This window comes from Homo sapiens, chromosome 6 (assembly GCF_000001405.40).
Source record: "Homo sapiens chromosome 6, GRCh38.p14 Primary Assembly".
NCBI classification, from domain to species: Eukaryota; Metazoa; Chordata; class Mammalia; order Primates; family Hominidae; genus Homo; species Homo sapiens.
The window spans coordinates 150,655,872-150,680,601 of record NC_000006.12 but is presented as its reverse complement, the minus strand read 5'-3'; the positions used below and the strand labels follow the sequence as shown (position 1 = coordinate 150,680,601).

The window sequence follows — 24,730 nt, the reverse complement described above, 5'->3', positions numbered from 1 at the left end:
TTAGAATCCTGGTTTTCCACCTCCCTGTACCAACATCCCTCTTCAATCTCCTTTGCAGGATCAGCCAATGACTCATTTATATTTTCAGCCCAAACTTCTGAGCACCAGACCAGTATATCCAAGTGACTATTTGATAGCTCAGCTTTGAGATTTCACAGGAAACTGAAATGTAATATAACCAAAATGAAACACAACTTCCCTCCCAAACTGGACCCTCTTCCAAGGAATGTCACTATCATTTGTGGGGTTCTGCAAACCAGAAATTTCAGAGCCATCCTTTCCACCTTTTTTCCATCACTCCACATATTCAAATCATTACCACCTCTAGTCAATTTCTTTACTTCTTAATTCACTTGCATGTCACTTCCTTTTCTCCATCTCTACCCTGGTCATCTTCCATCTGTACTAGTATAACATTCTACTAAATATTCTCTGGAGGGGAGAACTATAGTGCCATGATCATTCAAATGGCAGACCTGATGTCACCCTATCCTTACCCCATCAGCTGAAAACTCTTCCATGCCTCTTCATTTCTTCTAGAATAAGGATCACAACCTGTATGTAACCTGGCCTCCAGCACTCACATGTTCCCATCCTGGCCCCCTTGCTGACTTTACTGGCCTTCTCTCCCATACCATGCCAGACACACCACTCATCTCTAAGTCCCTCCAAAGCTCACTGTCTCTCCACATTGCTTTTCTGCCCCCGCCTCAGTTCCTGCTCACCTGTCAGACCTCAGCATGGCGATCACCTCCTCATGACAATGCCTACCTGTATTTTTTTTTCCTTTATGGCATTTATAATTACAATGAATATCTGGCTTACAGCCATCTCTCCTACTAGTCTAGTTTAATATACTGATGGGGTGGCAGGGAAAGCGCATGTGTTTTTTTGCCTGCATCAAATTCCCACAGCCTGAAACAGCACCTGGCACAGAGTACATACTCAACGAATGCTTGCTGAATGACTGAATGAACAACTATACTGCCCTGAGGACTTTGGTATAATTAGTGTGGGTGATATTTCTATCACAGCTGTTGTAATTTTTTAAAGTATGCTATTGCTTATAATTAGGTAAAGAAGCAAGCCTGTAATTATGAACTCATTCCCATGGGAAAACATGATTTGCTTTATGATAACTACTTTATTTTATGGATTCTTCAAAGAGAACACTTTGGTGAAAAGTGAGCTGCCTGTATTTCTCCCTTACTTACATTTAATATTCACATCTTCTCTGCCCTGAGAAATGCTATATTGCTGAACATAGCCATGAAGTTCAAGAAATTTAACAAATAACTAAATATCTCTTTGGAGCTTAATATTTATTATATGATTACAACTTACGTTAAATTATATTAAAAGCTATTATTAAGAACAGAGCGACTCAGAAAAGTCAAGGCAATGGTGCTTACTCATGCCAAACCTTTAAAATCCTACAAACATGATTTCTGTATTTATTTTCTCCTCTATATCAAAGCAAGGCAAGGCTACCATACATCATTATGGCACTTTCACTCACACACACAATTTAATAAGAGTTTAAAATTTTGATTTTGTAGAAAATTGCTCATTAATATTGTTTTTTCAGAGATTTATTACTTATTTTCTCAGCAATGAAAGTTAATGAATTTAGGCTGATTTCTAGTTTATAATTAATTGATATTCAGAGATTTCAGGTTTTAAAACTGCAATATCAGTGATAACCTAATATGATAAAACCCAGGTTTTCTAATCATATTTAAAAATCACCTAGAAATATTTTGTCTTTAATTCACATATTCATTTGCTCATGATTGGTTAGAACCAATTCCTAACAACACCTCAAGATTTGGCCATTGGAAATAACCATCTTTAGCAAAGCCTTTGTTATTTGTAATTCAACCCTGAAATGTGAACACTATAAAATTTTAGAACTCTACATTAGATTGGTGCAGAACCTTAAGCCAGAGAGTATGCCAACATTTCTTTCTCTATTTTAAAGAGTATGTGGATTAATTACAAGGTGCTGACTGACCTGGATTAATCTTTACCCCTGCCTGCACAAAATTAATTCCTACTATTTACATCAGTTAGATTAGGTCAAGATGGGTAATTCAGGCTGAACCTAATATAAAAACTCCTGTTTCCTAGGGCATCTGAAGTTAACACAGATCTAGTGAAACAATTCCTGCTTATATATTAATGGCATAAAGAGTTAGATTTCTCCCTGCTCACTTTGTAGAGTTGTGAAAGCTATTCAGGCACTGCTTAAATTTAGGTGTTCATTGGGAATAGTTTTAAAACACTCAGCTATGGTGGAGGGGCCTGGGTGGGCAAGGAGAGATGTTGTTCAAGTGGTCTGAAGTTTCAGTGGGACAGGAGGAACAGGCTCTGGTGATCCATTACACAGCATGGTGACTGTAGTTAATGGTAACGTATTGTAGACCTCAAAAGAGCTAAAAGAATGGATTTTAAATGTCCTGACCACAAAGAACAGCCTGATTTGATCATTCCACAACATATATATATATATATATATATATATATATATATATATATGCATCAAAACATCACATTGTATCCCATAAATATATACAATTATTATCAATTAAAAATAACACTAAAAAACACTTTGCTACAAAAAGTCAGGGAACACATTGACCTATGACCTATTTTGTTGCATTTTGCCTTTATGCATAATATAATACTTGTACTGACTTATTTATTTATTTGTTTATTTATTTTGGAGACAGGGTCTCACTCTGTCACCCAGGCTGGAGTACAGTGGCATAATTACAGGTCACTGTAACCCTGAACTCCCAGGCTCAAGTGACCCGCCCTCCTCAATCTCCCAAGTAGCTGGGACTACAGGTGTGCACCACCGTGTCCAGCTAATTTAAACTTTCTTTTTCTTTTTTAGAGACGGGATCTCACTATGTTGCCTAGGTTGGCCTTGAATTCCTGGCCTCAAGTGATCCTCTTGCCTCAGCTTCCCAAAGCACTGACAGCATTCTACATGAGGGGTATGTATCAGGTGTGTGAACATAAGTGGGCCCCCAACTGAGTCTTGTGTCTGCATGTGTCAGGAAGGGACCTAGATCATAAAGATGTCCCTAGAAGGGATGACATATGAATTGAGTCTGGAAGAACAAACAGGCATAAATAGGAGTCAGCCAGCCTGGAGTCATGGGATGGGGTGAGAAATCAGTGTAGGCTTTTAAGGAGAGGGAGTGCCATGTGCAAAGACTCATGGTGCCTATCCAGTGAAACTCCAAGCAATGCAGTAGGGTAGAAACTGGTGGTGTGTGTGCGCGCGCGCGTGTGTGTGTGTGTGTGTATAGGGGAAGAAACAAGAGACAAGACTGTAGAGGTTAGTAGGCACCAGGCCACATAGGGTCTTATGTATCCAGTAAAGACTTTGGACTGAATGTTTTAAATGGAGGAGTACCATAATCAATCAGATCTGCATTTTGAAAAGACAACTCTCAATGAAGTTGGAAAACAGACCAGAGGAAGAAACAATGCAAGTATGGAGATAGACACCTGCTAAGGAAGAGGTGGTGGCAGCCTGGATAAAGGCAGCGCAGGGAGAATGCCTATAGTTTGAGAATTGATGAGGTGGTGGCAGCCTGGATAAAGGCAGCTGCAGGGAGAATGCCTATAGTTTGAGAATTGATTGGATGGGGCTGGGCTATGAAGGAGAGGGAGGAGGGAGGGAAAGGCTGAAGCTTGTGGTTAAGGCACCTTGGGGCTGGCATTGCCATTCACTCCCAGGGTATGCATAGAAGAACGGGAGAGAGTTGGTTATAGGGTGGTGGGTGACTCAGGAAAATAATGAGTTCTACATTTTTAGATATGTAGGCTGTCACTAAGTATTTTTTCTCATTATAATTAATTCCATGAAGACATTTTTGAACATGAATTATGTTAGTGCCTTTAAGTTGCACCAGCTTCACCTTCAGGGTAGAATCTGTCTCCTTCATCTCCATTTCTCACAGCTTCTAGCACTGCAGTTGCTCAATAAGTTCTTGTCTCATGACACCGTCGGGATAAACTGCCAGGAAGGAAGAGCTACAGCAGGTTCAAAGGGTAAGACTGTCATCATCCTTATTATATACTGTCAGGTTTTCTCCAAAAGGATTACATAGTTTACACGGTTAACAGTAATGCATGAATATAACCTGTTTCTCCACAACCTGTCCCTTGTTGATTTTTGACTTCCGTTTATTTGATAGGTGTAAAATGTTTCCATTTTAAAATGTATTTGAGTGTTATTTTCAGATTTGGTTTCCTATTTGTTTTCCTTTGTGTAATAGCCGGTTTTATCCTTGGACCACTTATCCAATTAGAATCTGACGTTGTGCTCACATTTATATAAATTCTTGTGTGGGCACATGAATTAAGTCTCCAATTGTTGCTGTGCATATTTTCCCATTTTGTTGCTTTCATTACGTTCTAGTTCTAAAAGGTTTTAAACTTCATATCAATAAATATGTGCATCTTTGCCCTTTTCAATTTTCTCCTCCTTCAAAAAAATTTTCTTCTTTACAGCTGAAACTGTGCTACTGCAAATCTGTAATTCTTTAGTTCATTGGGAGTTCACTGTGATATATTATATGGCTTGTGGTCTGAATCTTGAATTTTTTTCTTTTGAATTATATCTTGTATTAGTAACTATTTTTACTCACTTTTTACTCGTTTCATCTATGTTTTGTAGGTATTTAATGATATCTGCAATAAATGTTTATACAGTTTCTTTTTTGCTACTTAATTTCATCTTCTTAGATTTAAATAATCCTCATGCTTTTCCCCCCACTAAGAAAAGTAAGTTTTATCAGCCAGGTATGGTGGCTCATGCCTGTAATCCCAGCACTTCGGGAAGCCGAGGCAGGTGGATCACTTGAGGTCAGAAGTTTGAGACCAGCCTAGCCAACATGGCGAAACCCCATCTCTACCAAAAATACAGAAATTAGCCAATCACACCTCTGCACTCCAGCCTGGGTGACAGAGGGAGACTCCGTCTCAAAAACAAAAACAAAAATAAGTTTTATCATTAAAGACAAGAGGCTAAAATAAAACTATCTTAGGAAGGGGATAAAAGACCCTCCAAATATAACTGAAAGATAAGGTTGTAGGGAGGATCTCCCTTTGCCTAACTTTCTCCACTAATCCAGAAAGCGTGAGAGAAAAAGCAAGAATGGATGAGCATGTGTGATGAACGCACAGGAGACAGTGCACACAGCTGAGGGCACACACTTTGGTGTACAAAAGATCTGGGTGTGAGTCCTGGTTCTGCCACTTATGAGCCGCGTGTCTTCAGGTAAGCTCCTCAATCATGCAAGTTTGCCCATCTGCAGATTAATAAATGGTGTGAACAGAGAGGGGACTGAAGGGGGAAGGAAGACTAATCAGCAGCTGATTATAGGTGATATAGGAAAAATGATCGTGTTCATGCAAAGAACTTGCCCTATACTGTCTGCTGGCATATGGTGAACTCCCAAAATGCTGCCTGTGGTTATTAAATATTTCTCGGCTAGGTCACTATATAAATCCATACCAAAGTTTTGAGCTTATTATTACATTTTTAAATAGCAAACGGTTTGCAATTTGTGTGTGTCTTTTTAAAGAAATGTTTGAGGTGGCCGGGCATGGTGGCTCACACCTGCAATCCCAGCACTCTGGGAGGCTGAAGCAGGCAGATTACTTGAGGTCAGGAGTTCGAAACCAGCCTGGCCAACATGGCGAAACCCCATCTCTACTAAAAATACAAAAATTAGCCAGGCATGGTGGTAGGTGCCTGTAATCCCAGCTACTCAGGAGGCTGAGGCAGGAGAATCTCTTGAATCCAGGAGGTGGAGGTTGCAGTGAGCTGAAATCATGCCACTGCACTCCATCCTGAGCGACAGAGCGAGACTCCATGGAAAGAAGAGAAGAGGGGGGAGAGAGAGAGAGAGAGAGAGAGAGAGAGAGAGAGAGAGAGAGAGAGAGAGGGAGGAGAGAGAGAAAGTTACAGGTGTAATCTGGCATTAAGTAACTTGAAACAAAAGTGAAACTCAGGTGCCATAAGTGTAGGTCTATAATAACTGATAACAATGCTTTGAACCTGGCTAGCTCTCTACTCTTCATTTAGGTGGATATAATTCTTAGAAGAGTTTATATCACTTCCTGATTGCAGGTTAATTCTCAGAAAGAGAAGAGAGCTTGGACTCTGAGGTCATTCTTTGTCATTAACAGTAGAGTAAAAGAGCAGTTATCCAAATTCCTTAAGAGATGAAAAGTTCTGCTTAACTGAACTTTCTGTTAACTTTAGAGTTAACAATAAAAACCTTTTTCAACGCTTGTTCATTTTTTTTTTCCTAAACTGGGTCATGCATATCCCTAACTTGATAGGTAAAGGCAGTATACAAACTATAATTTAACCTTCCCCGATGATTCAAACTGTTGCCCTGCCTCAGGGTTGAATCTATAACAGAGAGTAGACTAAGAAGAAGGTGGAGGAGCTGGGATTAATAAACACTGATAGGCTGATACACATTCAAAGATTCTTTTTTTCCTTAAATAAATTCCTCATGTCTACACACTTTGTGTGTGTGGTGTGTGGTGGAGAGGGAGGTCAGGCTCTCTTCTACAAACTGAGCTTAGAAAAAAACAGTTCATAGGGTGAGCGCGGTGGCACACGCCCATAATTGCAGCACTTCGGGAGGCCAAGTTGGGTGGAATGCTTGAGCCCAGGAGTTTGAGACCAGCCCGCAGCAACATAGCAAAAGCTCATCTCTACAAAAAATACAAAAAAATTTAGCCAGGCATGGTGGCTTACGCCTGTAGGCCCAGCTACTTGGGAGACTGAGATGGGAGAATCACCTCAGCCAAGGAGGTTGAGGCTGCAGTGAGTCGTGATTGTGCCACTGCACTCCAGCCTGGGTGACAGAGTAAGACCCTGAAAAAGGAGGAGAGGGAGGGGAGGGAAGAGGGAAAGAAAGGAAGGAAAGAAGGAAGGAAGGAAAGAAAGACAGGAAGAGAGAGGAAGGAAGGAAGGAGAAGAGAAAAGAAAGAGTTCATTAAGGGCTTTGGCTTTCCTGAGTTGTACTTGACTACAAGTGTACACAATGCTCTAGAATCTGGTGAGCTGAGAAGTGTTCTTGAATATATTTAAGGATTCGAAAGCAAGCATTGCCTATAGACAGGCCAAAGAAAATGAACTTTGTCTACCAAGATCTTCAGCTAAACACCTGGGGATCCTTCCATGTCTGGCTTGGGGGCTGAGTTAGCTATGGCTCTGCAGAGGTCACAGATTACACAGAATATTTGAAAGTAACGCAGTACTAGAGAGATGTGCATTTGCTTGAAGACAGAAAAATCTTTTATTAGAAGGAAGCTTACCTTAAAAGTTTTTTTTGGAACTTGTATGCATGATGATTTGCCCTTTTAGAGAGGATGCTAAAGGTTAATTTTCTATGGCATAAGAACTGCAGATACATGCCAAAATTCTATTCCCAGACCTAAATTATATAATCAGAAATAGGGCATCCAAACTGAACATCAAATAGTCTTGCTTTCCGGCCGACTATGAAAAAAATCAGTTTCAATGTTTGAAGTAGGTGTTTGTTTATATAATGCAACCAACCATGACTGCCAAACACAGTAATTAAATGCTTTTACAAGTGAGAAATCTTGCCAGAATATGCAATTTGAAGGGGGAAATAAGCAGAGAGTTGATATGCAGTAGAAAATGCTGAATTATTTATTTCATTCTGCTCAAAAGTAGACACTCATGCTTTCAGTCTACCTGCAGAAATACTGAGAGAAATGAGAGCATCAGAAGGTGGCAGTTACTTTATTTAATCTTATCTTTTTTATCTATAAATGGTACACTTTCTTCTCACTCAAACTTGAAAAATGAGGACTCTCATCTTCCTGTCGTTATAAAATGACCTGGTTGGAAATGAAATTAAACATCTACAAATAACAACAGATAACTATATTTTTCTTTTTCCATTCCTTTAATTATCCACTAATTTTTTCTATCCTCTGATTTCACCTAAATGCTCCTACTGGTGAAATAGAGCATCAATTTAATATAGGCTAATACTTAGAATGAGCAACTAATGAAATATTTTCAAAGGATTCCACTTCTAAGACAATTGTGAAATCATCCTTAATCTCAATTTTCACTCATCTCCATGATCAAACAATATAAATGCTGTCTGGCTTCCCCTGGGAACTTAACGGGACATCGAGGAAAGCAGAGGAGGTAGCAGCAACTGCTAGACTTTGCACTGGACTTCCAAGCACCTCATAGCATTAATTTATTCATATGAACACCCGTGGAATCAGGCTCTAATTTTCTCCACTATATAGAGAGAAGGAGGGAGTACTTGCACAGCAGATAAAAGGTGAGTTAGGTGGGGGAAATATTGGGATTAAGACTTAGCATTTTCTTTTTCCATTACCCAAAGAGGGGTTCTTTGATAACATCTGCATATTTTTTTGTGTCCTGGAGAATAACTTCTCTATTATCAGGGACCCCTTGGCCCAAGGGACCACCACCAGCTCTTGACTGGCCTGCAGCACAAGGCTTCTGACTTGTCATCTCTTTACCACCCCACTTTCTGTAATTCATTCTCACCCAATAGCTAGTGAATCTTTAGAAAGCTGAACTGGATTCCATCACCCTCCTGCTTAAAACCTATAAATATAGTCCCATTGCATTTAGAATAAAAACCAAACTCCTTAACATGGTCTGCAAGGCTGTGCAAGAGCTAGTCCTCATCTCTCTCTCCAACCCCATCCCCACTGCTCACTGCCTCCAGCCTCACTGGTTTTCCATTCATTCACTCTTTCATTCATGTCCCAACTTCATGTAGGTCTTCCCTAGTCTTTTCCTGTGACTAGAATGTGATCTCTTAGAGCATCCTGGTCTCTTCATTCATAGCACTGACCACAATTTAAAATAATATACTTGGGGTTTTTTAAACTGTTATCTTTCAGCTCCACTAGACTCTAAGCTTCTTGCAGGTGTCACTACCAATGTAAGCACTGTCTCCTCAGCACTTACTACAGTGCCCGGCATATGGAGTCCTTCCATAAATGTTGGCTCAGAGTGAGCAAGTGATTTCTGACTTGACCAATTCCTCAACAGTCTGGGGCACTGGTTCCTTCTTACCCATAATGGCTCTGTCCTTTCCTCTTTTAAGGAATACTCTAGGACGGAGGAAAAAGAAGCAACATATGGTGTGGATGCAGTGAACAGGGAACACTTCTACACTGCTGGTGGGAATATAAACTAGTACAGCCACTATTGAAAATACTGTGGAGATTCCTTAAAGAACTAAAAGTAGATCTACCATGTGATCCTGCAATCCCACTACCAGGTATTTACCCAGAGGAAAAGAAGTCGTTATTCAAAAAAGATACTTACACAGGCATGTTTATAGCAGAACAATTCACAACTGCGGAACCAACCCAAATTCCCATCAATCAATGAGTGGATAAATAAACTGGTGTGTGTGTGTATATATATATATATATATATATGATGGAATACTATGTAACCATAAAAAGGAGTGAATTAACAGCATTTGCAGTGACCTGGATGAGATTGGAGACTATTATTCTAAGTGATGTAACCCAGGAATGGAAAACCAAACATTGTATGTTCTCACTGGTATGTGGGAACTCAGCTATGAGGACGCAAAGGCATAAGAATGATACAATGGACTTTGGAGACTTGGGGGAAAGAATGGGAGGGGGGGGCAAGGGATAAAAGCCTATAAATATGGTGCAGTATATTCATGGGTGATGGGTACCACTAAAGAACTTACTCATATAACAACAACAACAATAATAAAATAACACAGAAAAAGAAGCAACATAAGCGTTAACATTATGTCATTTCCCTCAGCCAAATGGACTATGTGGGGTCAACAACCAACAGACCCTTTAGCTATCTATGTATGCTCATGTGGCCCAGGGTTTCCCCACTCTTCCCAGGATAAATAGGGAACTCCAAAGTTTTGCTGAATGAGCACAAGAATGCAAAAGCATTTTTTATTACCCTTAGTTCTAGGACTGACATGTTGGTACAACTCCAGGGGGCGCCCATGCTCAGATTTGTGACTGGTACTGGTAGCGCATGCTGCGGCTGTGTAGCGTAGGTGGCTGCCCTGCTCAGGGCTTCGATGTTGTCCTTCTGGGTTAGCCTTCCATCTCTGTGCCTTGTTCTTAGGTTTACTCTTTATTACAAACGCAACGTTTATCTTATACATGGCTTTAAAAATATGAACAAATATGAACAAAATAGAACATATTCCTTATAAAGTCAATGAAATAAAGGTCAGTGGAAGGCTATGAAAAGAAAAACCTGTGTAAGTTGATTTTTTATTAGAAAAAAACCCACAATGTTACTGATTTTTGAAAATTGATTCCTCATTGTTTATTTACTTTGAAAACATAAACATATGTGAAAATACTGTATAATCAATATTTTTCTTCTATCAAAATCCATGGGGCTTATGAAGAAAAATAAACAATTATCTCATTGAGGACCAAGGGTAAAAATTAATAAAGCCACTGTTTTCTTTAAACACAAAAATCCCTTAGTTATCCCAGGAATGGTTTGAAAAGGAAATTAGAAATACATTTTAGGATCAAAATCTGGGTTATGGCAATGTCCACATGAAGAGCATTTTTGGTAAGGACCTGATTGAAGTTTAAGAAATCATTCTTGGCCAGGCATGGTGGCTCACGCCTGTAATCCCAGCACTGTGGGAGGCCGAGGTGGGTGGATCGCCTGAGGTCAGGAGTTCGAGACCAGTCTGGCCAACATAGTGAAACCCTGTCTCTACTAAAAATACAAAAAATTAGCTGGGCGTGGTGGCAGGCGCCTGTAATCCCAGCTACTCGGGAGGCTGAGGCAGGAGAAACGTTTGAACCTGGGAGGTGGAGGTTGCAGTGAGGCATGATCGCGCAACTGCACTCCAGCCTGGGCAACAAGAGCAAAACTCCCATCTCAAAAAAAAAAAAAAAAAAAGAATAATTCTTTACACAGCATAGGATGATGCCGAAAGGACTAAATACACAGTTCCAGTAACTTTGACATCGAGTAAGGTATTAAAAGTAATTTAGGCAAAAATTTAACCCCAAAGAACGTCGCGTTATTTTATCCATTAGCTAAAGGGTTAATTCTCCCCACAGACTGAAGCCTTATGGGTTCAAGCTGATGCAATTATAAGGGAGTTAGACATCAAACTAGGTCAGAGAATGACCTCGGTAGGCAATCAAAAACCATCTCAGAAGCCTCTTCAACCCCCCATCTATCCAGGCAAAAGTCATCTTTTCTCCTCACTCCTACTCATTCTGTACAGCAAAAACACATCCCAGCTATCTACAGTGATGTGTCTTCAAGGCTTTCTCCCCTCTCTATTTGAGGGCTAGATCTAAGTCAGGAGCCTCCTTTTGTCTTTCCTGAACCCACAGTGGGGCTGTGCAAATGTTTGAGTTAAAAAATGAACATCAGTGTTTACAGGGATCTTATTTTAGGCTTTCCTCAGAACTAAGTAGGGGAGAAACAAAGAAAAGCCTGCAAAAAAAGGCCCTAGTTAAACTGTTTAAAAATAAATCCAGATTAACAATGGCATGGAGTCATCACTGCAATAAAATGCAAAGATGACGGCCAGATACTTGAGCTACATTGCTCACAATAATTCAGCTGCCATTTTATTTATATTTAAGGTCAAATAAGACAAATCTTGTTTTGTATTACTTTGTACAAAGCAGGGGGACTAGAGAGAATTTTACATTTCATATCATCAGAAGACTAAAATATTTTTCCAGAAACAAATCAAAATTTAAATAAGTGAAACATGAAATTTTTAACCTTTACCATACTCTGCCCTACAAATAATCAACTTATTTTCAGTGATTACACATAAAGCATTCCGGTTTTAAAGTCCTTTGTGCTAGAGTTTCAGGTCCGGCCTGATTAGGAACACTGCGCCCAGCTGAGTGGAATGTGGAACTCCTACTTGGTCATCGGCCAGCAAGACTCCATGGCAACCACTATGTTTCGACAGATCAAAGGAGAGTTGAGCACTCAGGAATTGTCTCAGACTACCCAATAATAGACACTACATTTAATATGAGTACACTTTCTCAAATGGACCATTAAATTTTATTGTAGAAGAACTCAAAATATCATGTACAAAAATTCCAGAAACTTACAAAGGGAACTGTTGGCTCTCCAAGAAAACCATCATTCCTTTTTTTGGAACTGGACTACAGGGAGTTGAAAAATCTTTGAGGGAGCCATAAAGAATCCAATCACTTTTTACTTTGTTTAGATGGTGTTCTAGCTGTTGAAGGCTCCCATGATAATTTTGTGTTCTGTTTTTAGCAGAAGTTACAGGTAGGGCAGCCAATGCTTTATGTCTGCTTTTGGCAAGCACAAGCAACAGTGAGTTTCTCACTTCAGGCTATGTGTGGGCACATGAAACCTTCACTAATTCAAAGAAAGCTTTCACAGCCAACAGCAACCAGTTTAGAAAAACAGCAATGAGACTTTCGGCATCAATCTTCACTTTCATATTCCTGGAAAGACCTATTGCACGTATTTTAGCCGCCCTTGTATACAAGATAATCTTCAAACCTTCTGCTCTGAATTCTTTTTTATACACACATCTTACAAAAAGACAAGAGGCCTTGAACATTTTAATACCTGCTGATGGGCTGGAAAAGCTTTTAAAGGAATAAGTAGCACTCTACCACAAGAAGACAGTATTTTTACTTGTGACTGCTGATGGATTCACTATCCCTTGTAGTTCTAAAGGAGAGTCACCTCTACTTTTCACAGTTTCATTTATTTGCAGACTTCTGAATTCAGCTTTTCTAAAAGTTCTCTAGCAGCATAGAGGGTGTGTGAGGAAAACCGGGTAATATTATTTCCTAGGCAATTTTAATGCAAATTCAATGCAGGAAAATATTCCTGCTTGAATTAATAAAACATTGTTTAGCCAAATCTGTTGCAAATAGGAAAAAGTAGACTGCTATAAATAAAAGTAATAAACCACAGGAGGCTGTCCTTGGATTCTGTACTTCAGACTACTATTTTCCAAGATACCTTATGATCCTAAATTGTAACAAACAGAAGTATGTTCTGCCTTGAACCCCATTTTAGTGTCATATTAAGACAACATAATGCTGTTTAGTACATATATGTTGAAAACACAAGACTTGGCTGAACAGATAATAGAAACAGCCTTTTCAGAGTCAATCCTTAGTCAAAGGCTAAGTATTCACAAAATCATATGTAGAAACTCTTTTTAAAAAAATTATGTCCGCAGCAATATAATATTTAAAAAGACTGGTGAGCAAACATTTTAGGGATGCTAAAAACTTGAAATATTAGTAGTTAGCTAACTAAAGGTGATGCAGACCCAACCCTAATATATGTTTAGACAGGCCCAGTTTTCATGCTATATGATTTAAATAGCTTGGCATCCCTAAGCATTGTACACACACACACAAACACACACACACCCCCTTTTGGAGAAAATTTAAAAATCTTATCAGGCTGGGCGCAGTGGCTCACGCCTGTAATCCCAGCACTTTGGGAGGCCGAGTTGGGTGGATCACGAGGTCAGGAGATCGAGACCATCCTGGCTAACGCGGTGAAACTCCATATACTAAAATATAAAAAAATTAGCCGGGTGTGGTGGTGGGCACCTGTAGTCCCAGCTACTTGGGAGGCTGAGGCAGGAGAATGGTGTGAACCCGGGAGGCGGAGATTGCAGTGAGCCGAGATTGCGCCACTGCACTCCAGCCTGGGCGACAGAGTGAGACTCCATCTCAAAAAAAAAAAAAAAATTATCAATGCAGCTGGTATGATGGCAACTGTATGAAGCTAGAAGGCAAGATATCTTGATTCCAGCTCAGTCTCTGACATGAACTTGCTGTGCACGTTTGATGGTATTGCCAGCTCTCTCCAGACTGCAATTTTCTCATCAATAACATGAGATACTTAGGAGTAGGTCTTTTCTGTGTCTGCAATGAACACCTAGGTACTGCAGAGGTGAGCAAAGGGAGTGGTAGAGACACTGGGCTCATTGGTTATCTGATCCTGCCCCAAGCAGAGAAGATGGAGCAAGCTGGCAAACAGACGCAAGTTAGCAATGAACGGACCAACACAGCCGAAGCAGAGGGAGTGTGGGATGGGGAAGTGACAGGAGCTGCAGCTGGTCAGACCATGGAAACCCTTGAGGGTGGGAGACAGTGTTATCCTGTGGCGAACTCAGTGTAATGAGAGGAAGGCCAAGTTTATGCTTGTTCCTAAACTCTCTTCCCTGGGCGCCATTCCAACCTGAATGCATCAGTTGACTTCAGACAACCACAACTCCATTGGATTGCAGAAAGTGGAACATCTGACCCTTTTAATACATTTTGTCCAGGAAGCTGCATTATATTTATAGAACTTGACTCTTTTCATCCAGAGTACTGCCAGGGTAGAGGAAGGACTCAGAAGAAACCACATATTTCTGTTGCTATGCTTTTGTTTTTTAACAGGAAATTGTTGTCTAAACGAGAGCATTTCCAACGTGGAAAGACATGAGGGGGACATCAGACCACCTACAGGATAACCATTACACAGGAGAGATGGAGGCAAGGCCCCACCCCATCATGGGCAGATGGCTCAGTGAGGCCAAGTTTATACATTATGGATTCCTTTAGCCTTAACTGTGCCTTCCCCTTATGACTGAGCTCCTGTGGGCTTCCCATGCTACCCCAACCAACTCCCCTGGTTGGCCAAATCATAGGGAATAAAGGGACAAATGCCAGAAGCAGCTGGGAATTTTACCACTGATTCTATAGTTGACAGAAACCAGAGCATTTCCCCAAGAACCTGTGCTGATGCAGTAAAGAAACTGAAAAAAAAAAAGTCCCCCTGCTCAGCCTTCATATTAATATTTTTATTTTTATTTTTATTTTTATTTTTATTTTTTGAGATGGAGTCTTGCTCTGTTGCCCAGGCTAGAGTGCAGTGGTACGATCTTGGATCACTGCAACCTCCGCCTCCTGGGTTCAAGCGATTCTCCTGCCTCAGCCTACTGAGTAGCTGGGACTACAGGCACGTGCCACCATGCCCAGCTAATTTTTTGTATTTTTTGTAGAGACAGGGTTTCACCGTGTTAGCCAGGCTGGTCTTGAACTCCTGACCTCGTGATCTACCTGCCTCGGCCTCCCAAAGTGTTGGGATTACAGGCGTGAGCCACGACATTCATTATTAAATCAAATCATTACTGCCTTGATACAGGCAGGAAGAAAAGTTCTATTTTTTCTATTATATTAGCTTTCTCTTCTAATGACGTAGTGTTTTGGGGAAGAGTGGGTGACAATAGAGGCAAGAAGAGCGATAATTTATTTAAGTAACTTGCAACCTGCAAACAGATTGTGTTCTAAATCATTCTGAGCCCAGACTTCAAGTCTGGAACCCAGTTTCTCACAGATCATGCATAAGGATAAATGTGTTCCCAGATCACCTATATTGGTCTATTTAACTCGGGCACTAAATACCCCAAGGAGCCTGTTCTCCCGGTTGCAACCTATCTCTACCCAGCTGTCCTCGCCAGCAGCTTGGAAGCCATTCTCAGCAGCCCAATTATTGGCCTTATTGTCATCTGGCTCTGTTCCCACAGCCTATGTCTAAATCCTAAAGACAAAGGAATGGAAAGCAGAAAGTAACAGAGTAATCTGATAGAGTAACTGTCACTTAAAACTCCCCGAGATAGAAGCATCTCCCCCAATTCTGCGATGAATGTGGTATGATTCTTGCACGTATCCCAAAGAACAAAGCCCCAGTTGGCCCAGGGCGGGCTCTTGTGCTTGAGTGATTCTAGATGGCGGTGTCAGCTGAACTGCCAGCACCTTCCAGTCAAGGAGATTCAGCGACCTGGACCAGAGAAGAAGACACCACCACAGCCCTTCACAACACGAGACACCCCCACCACAGTGCCATGAAATGCCTTGAGGGACTCTGAAGAAGGAGGGAGAGTCTGCAATAGTGTGTAGAGATAAGAGCCAGGGATTCACAGATTATATTCAGAATTTGTTTTATTTAGAGAATAAAAAGAATAACACAATGAAGTACAATGGCCCCATTTTAATGGTGCTATTGGTTTCTTACCCAGCATTTGTTCTCTACTTCTCCCCAAGGTAACCACTTCCTTGTTTCTTCTACACATAGTCATATGGCATAGCTGGAGCTAAGCCATCCCCAGCCCTAGAGGTGGATCCTGCCGGATGTAAGCCCATCAGTGCGGGCATTGAGTATGGTTACTGCCCTTCATGATGTAAGTGGCCACATCAGATCAAAAGAAGGGACAATATGTATTGAAAGGCTGTGAAGAGGTTTCTGTCTCCTGGTGCACATGGACAAGGGAACCTCTTATTCCATTTGTGGCTAGTAGACATCTTGTGACCACTTAGGGGAAACTGCCTGAGAAAGAAGCCAACCCCACGGATGGTGGAGCAGAGAGATGGGAAGAAACTGAGTCCTCAGTGATGTTTCTGAGTCACTGAACCAATGAGTCTTAGAGGCTGTACTCCTTCAAGAGCAATTTACTCATTTCTGTTTGTTTTACCAAATTTGAGTAAGAGTTGCTATCACAGTACAAAGTGTTCTGATAAAGTACCAATGAAAATATAAACCTGGAGATGGAGAGTGGGAGATAAAAGGTACAATAGATGTGAATGTGCTTTGAACATTAGTATAGAAAGTGCCCGCCAGGCGCAGTGGCTCACACCTGTAATCCCAGTACTTCGGGAGGCCAAGGCGGGCGGATCACGAGGTCAGGAGTTCGAGACCAGCCTGGCCAATATGGTGAAACCCCGTCTCTACTAAAAACACAAAAACTAGCTAGGCGTGGTGGCGGGTGCCTGTAGTCCCAGCTGCTCAGGAGACTGAGGCAGAAGAATCATTCGAACCCAGGAGGTGGAGGTTGCAGTGAGCCAAGATCATGCCACTGTACTCCAGCCTGGACAACAGAGTGAGACTCCATCTCAAAAAAAAAAAAAAAAGAGAGAGAGAGAGAGAGAAAAGAAAGTGCCTGAAAAATCTCTAGTCCTTTCTTCCTGCAAATATACTGAACCATAAAAATAAAAATATGAACTTTAGAGTATGTCTTCATTGCACTATAAATCTAAGATATAAAAGATGCACCATTTGCTCTAAATGGTTCATTTGTGAGCCACATTTTCCTGAATCAAGAGACCACATTATTTAAGCCATTTGCTAAACAACTGTTCAGTGTATGAGAATAAGCAAAACTAAATAACTTGCCTTTAAGGCTAAAATCTGGTGGTAGGGGGCAGAGAATGAATTCTCTCTATATAGAAATGTAAACATTTAATGTTTAAAATCAATATTCTCAAAACATGGATAATTTGTTTAATTGCAGGTCTGAATGAACCTACAATAACTGGAAATAATTAGAAGAAAAAGCTTTCTTGGCTATCTTTCAAGATGGTCAGAAGAACGACCATGGGGGAAGAAAAATAACGTGTTCAATATCTCACAGCAGGTCAGCAGGTCAGCATTTCATGTCAACAAACCTCTTCCCGTCTGTTTTCTTGTGTACTCTAAAGTGACCCCATGAGTATCATCATACTTTTCATAAGTGCTTTAAAGTTCTTCAGATAGAAAAGCTCATGTTCATAAAATATCATAAAACATAAAAAGCTTTCAAATTTTTTGTCTAAAAAATACATAGTTGACACTTGTCTCGAGGTGTAGGAAGTGGTAGAACAGTTCATTGCGTTTCAGAGGAAAAAGCTTTGAACCCCCGTGAGAATGCAGCGTTTTACTATTCTCTTCACAGCCTCACCGGTTCCTGCAAGCACAGGCAGAACACATTTAAAGATGGAGCTTGGGCCGGGCGCGGTGGCTCACGCCTATAATCCTAGCACTTTCCGAGGCTGAGGTGGGCGGTCAGGAGTTCAAGACCAGCCTGGCCAACATGACGAAACCCTGTCTCTACTAAAAACACAAAAATTAGCCAGGTGGGGTGGCGCACACCTGTAATCTCAGCTACTCGGGAGGCTGAAGCAGGAGAATCACTTGAGCTTGGGAGGCGGAGGTTGCAGTGAGCTGAGATGGCGCCACTGTACTCCAGCCTGGGCGACAAAGTGAGACTCTGTCTCTACAAAACAAAACAAAACAAAAAACAGAAGATGGAGCTTGTTCCAAAACACTCTTTGTAAATGGTTGTTTATTTCTACAGGAAAATCTGTTCCGGGTTCCAATGGTATATATATGGTTCCTAGCCCTGCTTAAAAATGCTTTTTAGCTCAACATGTTCCTCAAATGCAGGAGCTGACCAAAGGTTATCAATGTTTTCTAGAAGAATGTGTTGAAGACACCAGAAGGAAACCATACTGGGAAGATTAGGAGCTGACTGACAGGAGGAGAAAAACATTTCCTTATCCCCTGCCTTCTCTCCTTCAACCTAACACTATCCACATTTGGGTTCTCGCCTTGGGATACACGGTGAGGGTAGGATGGTCCTGTGGTCCATGACACACTCTTCTGAACTATCCGCCTCTCCCTCCCCTCCCTCAGGCCCTCATTCTGACTGTCTCCTCATCCTTCTCTCGGGATCCTGGCCTCTACCTTATTGTTTATTTCAAATCATTCCACCTAAGCTCTTGCCACAAAACAAACAAGAATGCTTGGGTCTCAGAGTTTCAAAATTAAAATGGGGACAATACATAAATTTTTCAAATGTTCAAGTGCTACATAATCATAAGGTGCTTCTGTTATTGCTCTGATATACACATGAAGCTCCCCTGAATCATTCTTATACATGGTTACTGATTTCCATATCACTATAGTTTCACAGCTAATAGGCGTATCTCTAAACTCTAATATCAAGATACATGGCCTAATAAAGAATGTTTCCACCACATTCTCTAGTTGCAAGAACCACTCCAGAACATGGTTTTTCTCCACAAATATTGGAATTTCAGTGTTTACAGGAACAATGGGAAGAACATCAGTAATGGGAACTGGCCCCCAGATGGCCCTAACTGTATTTCAGGCACAGGATGAGTTAAATAGGCTCTGTGTGCCTGAAGACTTCACATGCATAGCTTTATGTCTAACAAGGAAAGAATCCACTCCAAAATGTTTTTCAAATGAACTTTTGGGAAAAAAAACCCTGGCTTAAGTGGAAGATTGCCTGCATATAACATCTGTTGTATATATGCATGGCTTTACTGACTGAATCCTGATTTGTTCTCAGTCTTTCTCTATAAAAAATCCTAATCCTGAAGGTTCAAATATTCTTAAAAACTTTTTGAAGATTTTCTTCGGAATGTTGTTGAGAGAGATATTTTGGTGGATTCTAATGTTAGTGAGCGCTGGACCAGCCTATGCCCTACACTGGCCAAGGCTTCTTCTAGCATCACCATGTAGACAAGGCGAGTGAGACCAAGGGCCCAAAGCAACACATTCAAATTCGCTCACAGAACCATGCATTCTATTCCAGGGGAGGAAACCTTTCCTCAGCTGAGGGATCCAGTTTCCACTATTCACTCCCCCTCCTTGACCCCACGAAGGAAGAATCCCATTCTCCTTGGAAAGGGCCCATCCAAAGGATCTCCCAGCACAGTTCAATTTAGCAACATTAAGCTTGGCAGATCAACAAGACATCTTTCATCCTTAGGTAAGTATTTCCACAAACACCTTTTTCTATGTAGGCAAAACACTGGCAAAATTAATAATATGTCTTTTGTTTAGAAATAGACTTTGTGCAAATGCACTGAAATGTGACCAGGATAAAACACACACGTTGGCAGGTGAGACTTACCTACAACTTGTTCCAAATAATTTTTCTTTCACCAATGCCTCTATGGTTTAAGAAGAGGCCTTCAAAGCTCCAGTTGGAATTATAGATAAAGTTTGGAGTTTTTAACAACTGGCTCTGAGTATGAGGTGCTTAAATAAACTAAGAAGCCCATACTTAATGAAATTATTTTGTCAACTGAAAGATGCCACATTTTTATCTCTAGAAGAGCCCTTCCTCAGACATATTTTTAGAGCATCATCCTCTCCATCAGACTCTCCAAAGGAAAAATTTGGTAGGGAGGAGAGAAGAATTATTTATCTGGATTGGAGAGGCTGGAGAGAAACATGTAAATCCACCTGAGAAAAATTTACACCTGGAAGATAATCATCATGAAAAAATTAGAATGTTTCCTCATTTAGTGGGTTAACTCTAAGAAAATAAAACATGTTTCTATATACAGCCATGTTTTAAGGTTTCTCAGAGTTTAAAAGACAGTTTTATCAAACATATTGGAGAGTAAAATTACTTAGTTTTAAAATTTTACCCTGTAATATTTTTCACATTAAGAATTATGAACAGGCCAGGCATGGTGGCTCATGCCTGTAATCCCAGCACTTTGGGAGGCTGAGGCAGGCAGATCACTTGAGGCCAGGAGTTCAAGACCGGCCTGGCCAATATGGTGAAACCCTGTCTCTACTTAAAAAAAAAAAAAAAAATTATGAACAAAGACATTTGGGCTAATTGCCAATGTACACACCTTCCTGGGAACCCTCTGTATCTGAAACCAACTTAGCTTATTTTTATTGATTTCTTATGAATGCGTGTGAAGTTTCTAAATTTTGGATCAAAAAAGTTTGTGAGTAGTTACATGTAAGGCACCAGACTGTGTGCCATGCATAAAACCTAGTCCTGCCTTCAAATTACTTTAGTCCGTTAGAGCAGGAATTAACAGCACTCAGGAAAAGCAACCAAGTACGTATTTGAAGCAGAGTTTTTAAGATCACAAAGCAGTGTCAAGAAGCAATATATAATTAAAATTGCTAAATGAATTGTTCAGAGGCTAACTGATACAGCAACTTGGAGGCAGGGGCAGGTAAAATCAGGTTGCAGTAATTTAAAAAGGAGAAGGAATCTGAACTGAGTTTAAAAGGACCGATAAGGTCTAGATAATAATATTACTCCCGCTGCTGCTCCATAGCTCCATTTGACAGTCTGCCAAGGGCCAGGCACTCACTATGGCAGGCATTGTATACATATGCTCTGATATCCACAACTAAACTGAAATGAGCTTAGCATCATGCTTTTGTAGGTGAGGTTGGCAAATAACTTGCCTGAGGCCTCCCAATGAAGAGGTGAGCTGTGATCCACATCCAGGTCTAGCTGACCCCAGAGCCCACTGTGTTCCTTTCACACTGACTCCAATCCAAGGAGCAGAGAGAGTTCTGGTTGTACCCAAAATACTTTTTAGAACACTTGAATTAAAACTGAAAAAAAAAATGCCTTGGAGCTTACAGAGCAAGCAACAACATGTCATTGTAAGTTTTAGACCAGACACCTGACATAATTAACTCAGCACTTTGAGTAGACCAGCCTGGTGGACTGAATGAACAGGAGGTTCACGAGTTCAGAGAAACAAGAGAGAGAGAGAGAGAGAACCCAGTCCCAACACGGGTGCACACAGCATGGCTGGGCTGCGTGCACATCTGACGGCTGTGAAGATGACACTGGGCTTGGGGTTGCAGTTGGGTATTTAGATCTCAAACTGTTTCAAAAACTGCCAGTTGCATGAGTTATGCAGTGACTTAGATTTCTGCAAGCTTCAGGCTCCTAATCTGTAAAATCCAATTAATGATAACTGCACAAGGCTAAAAGAATTAAGAAATAATATATAGCATGTAGCTTATCGTAAATGTGCAAATGTTAGTTTTTTGCTTTCTGAAGGCAGTAGAAATGAAAAAGCAGAGATGAGACAGCTGGTAAGGTAAATATAGTGAGATTTGCTAACAAATTTGATATTAAGGGCAGGGTGAGGAGCAGGGAGGAGGAAAGGAGAGAGATATCAAACACTGCTTCAAAGTGATGTGGCTGTACTAAAATCCCTTCATTTCCTCAAAGAGGAGAGTTAGGAGTTAGAGGCAGCTTTAAGAATATGTGATCACAGAGGTGACTGGAAGTCCTCAATTGAGAAGACTTAGAAATGAGGGCAGGGGCTTAGGAATTAAAGGGAAACCATAGACAAATGATTTGGCAAGCATTTGACTAAGAGTCTGGTTACTATATTCCATTTATGAGGACCTGGGAAATTGCTGAACTCCGTTTATCTTTGAATGACTATGCTTTAGAAATCAAAAGAATGTATATGAAGTTACAACACTATAAGAAGCCAGGCCTCACATTTTTTTTTAAGACAAAGAATATTAAAAGAAAATACTCGCCTTAATACAGGACTTAAGATCAATTGCAATTCCTTGTCTTTCTATTTTAAAACACAATGATTGCTTTAATACCCTACTTAACTCTAAAAGTTTTTATCACAGATGTAACCTTCCTCTAGAACAGGCTTTCCTGTGGCACAGAAAAGGCATGACGGTATAATGCAATAAAACACAGACTTCTGAAGTATGCCTACCCTGGACAATGCAACTGAAATGAGGACGACTGGGATCTGGGATGAGACAGGAAGAAAGGAGACAAGGCGGAGGGGAGGTAAGGTTGGCTGTAGCTCAGTCAACATGAATGTAGGCTTTGACTACCTAAAGCCTAAAGGTGGGTAATTTTGTTTTATTGACTTCTTAAGCTTGGGGAATCTGGTCCAGTGCTTCTACAAGTTTTTCAAATATTATAACTAAATGTCTGTTCCAGACACTGGATTCCTTATCCACAGCTGCTAAAAGCAGATCTGGCACTACTGGGCGCATCTGGTCCTTTTGACATTTTAGGTGACAGTCTTTCCGTGCCTATTAGAGATGGTCCCTGAGCAAGCCTCTGGTGGGTCTATCCAAGTTGATCATCAGCTACAGATGTTAAGAACATGAGACATCCATGATTCCGTACTGCATGGGGCTATGACATTCTATCTGGTTTTTAAAGTACAACAATGATCTTGTACCTAGCTTTATAACAAGTGAATAACTTGCTAACCATTATGCATCTGAAACATAGCCTTGAAACATATTAAGGGAAAACTGATACAACTAAAAGCAAATACTGATAATCTACCAATACAATGAGAGCTCTAAAGCAGCTCTCTCAGAAAATGACAGGTCAAGTCGAAAAGTTAAGGATGTTGATGATTTGAATAACAATTAAACAATTTTGACTTAATTAATAATTGTAACCAACCAACAGAAAATAAGCAGTATTTTCAAAGACATGGCCCTTTCACAAGCGAAGCCCATTGCTTCTGATCACCTTTCTAACTGCTTTGGTACCCTAAATTTCAGATTAATTTCTAATTTATTGGCAGAAGCCTTGTATCTTTGCCTTCATATCCTTCACAGTACCTTAGCTCAGTGCTTTCTACAAAGCAGAAATTCTTGATCATCCCACACAGGTCACTTTTAATGAAGTTATCAATAACAACTTCGGCTAAGTAATTTTATGCCACTTCTCCTTGAACCACGTGTTGCCTAAGGAGTCCATCAGGATCTGTCAAGTCTTACTAGATTGGAGGTAGTTTGATAGCAAAAGGTCTAAACAAATTTTCACCTAAGAATTTGAGATGACTGAAAGTCATTCTTCATTGGTCCTGGAGCCAGTGCTATAACTAAATGTTTTGGGATACCCTATCACTTTTATGCATGGAACACAGAGTCAGCCCAACAAGATAGCAAAAGGCCACAGACTCCCTAACTAGCAAACATGAGGGTTGGTGCCATTACAAGTTACCCAGCTAGAGTGAATGGTATATTGTATAGAACTTTGTCCTCCAAATGGTCTTTCTCTGAGCTCCTCCAACAGGGGCAGAATGCAATTATTGCTTCAATCCATTCATATTTCTTCCTGTAACCCATTTCTGTGTTTGTGCTGGCCACTTCTCTTCGCCATAGTTGACCTTAAATCTGCATTTACCAAACTATCTTCCACAGAACAATATGGTAATAGGTTTAAAAACTAAAGTAGTTTAAAGTAGTTTTTAGTAGTTTAAACTAGTAAAGTAGTTTAAAATTAAAGGAGTGGTAGCATGAAAGGAGGTGCTCCATGCTTAATGAAGTTTGGGAAACCCTGCCTATAACACCTCCTTGTTGAACAGAGGCCATTCAGGGCAGCATGTAAAGAGTCTACAGCAACAGAAACCAATTAACCTTACTGAAATCCCAAACTTACTTGACCACAATGTCCCCTTCCCCCTCCTCATTTTCAACAGAAACCTATTACCATAATTCTACAAGACTGAGGACAGACTGTCCAAGAGGCTCCTAATTCCTAGTTCCAAGGACAGGAACAGGAGCTACTTCCTTCCTCGTTCCAAAGGTCACCCCTTTGAGAGAAAACAAGTATTTTTTTTTTAAACTCATATCCTTTTTCTCTCAAGAATAGTTAGGGACCCCCTCAGATTCTTCACCAGCTATAACTAAAGGGTCTACAATGAGGAAGTCTCCCCCACAAAATGTCTAGTCCCTATACCACCTTAAGGTATTCAAATTTCTAGAAGAGTTTTTTTTTTATTGGTTGATTTTTTTTTATTTTTTATTATACTTTAAGTTCTGGGATACATGTGCAGAATGTGCAGGTTTGTTACATAGGTATACACGTGCCATGTCGGTCTGCTACACCCATCAACCCATCATCTACATTAGGTATTTCTCCTAATGCTATACCTCTCCTGGCCCCCCAACCCCCCACAGGCCCTGGTGTGTGATGTTCCCCTCCCTGTGTCCATGTGTTCTCATTGTTCAACTCCCACTTATGAGAAC

General features: G+C 40.6%; 1 protein-coding gene across 9 annotated transcripts in view; it reads right to left on the bottom strand.

Moving 5' to 3' along the window:
• Positions 1-24,730, bottom strand: part of PLEKHG1 (pleckstrin homology and RhoGEF domain containing G1) — a 243,781-nt gene that overhangs the window by 163,064 nt on the left and 55,987 nt on the right. For 3 of the 9 annotated variants that reach the window (NR_138138.2, NR_138136.2, NR_138140.2), the window contains one exon: positions 16,063-18,167. The exons of 4 other annotated variants lie outside the window; for them this stretch is intronic. The gene's annotated coding sequence lies outside the window, so the exon portion shown is untranslated. Of the gene's footprint in view, positions 1-16,062; positions 18,168-24,730 lie in introns of those variants that run through there. 2 more of the 9 variants (NR_138139.2, NR_138137.2) reach the window with 1 other exon arrangement.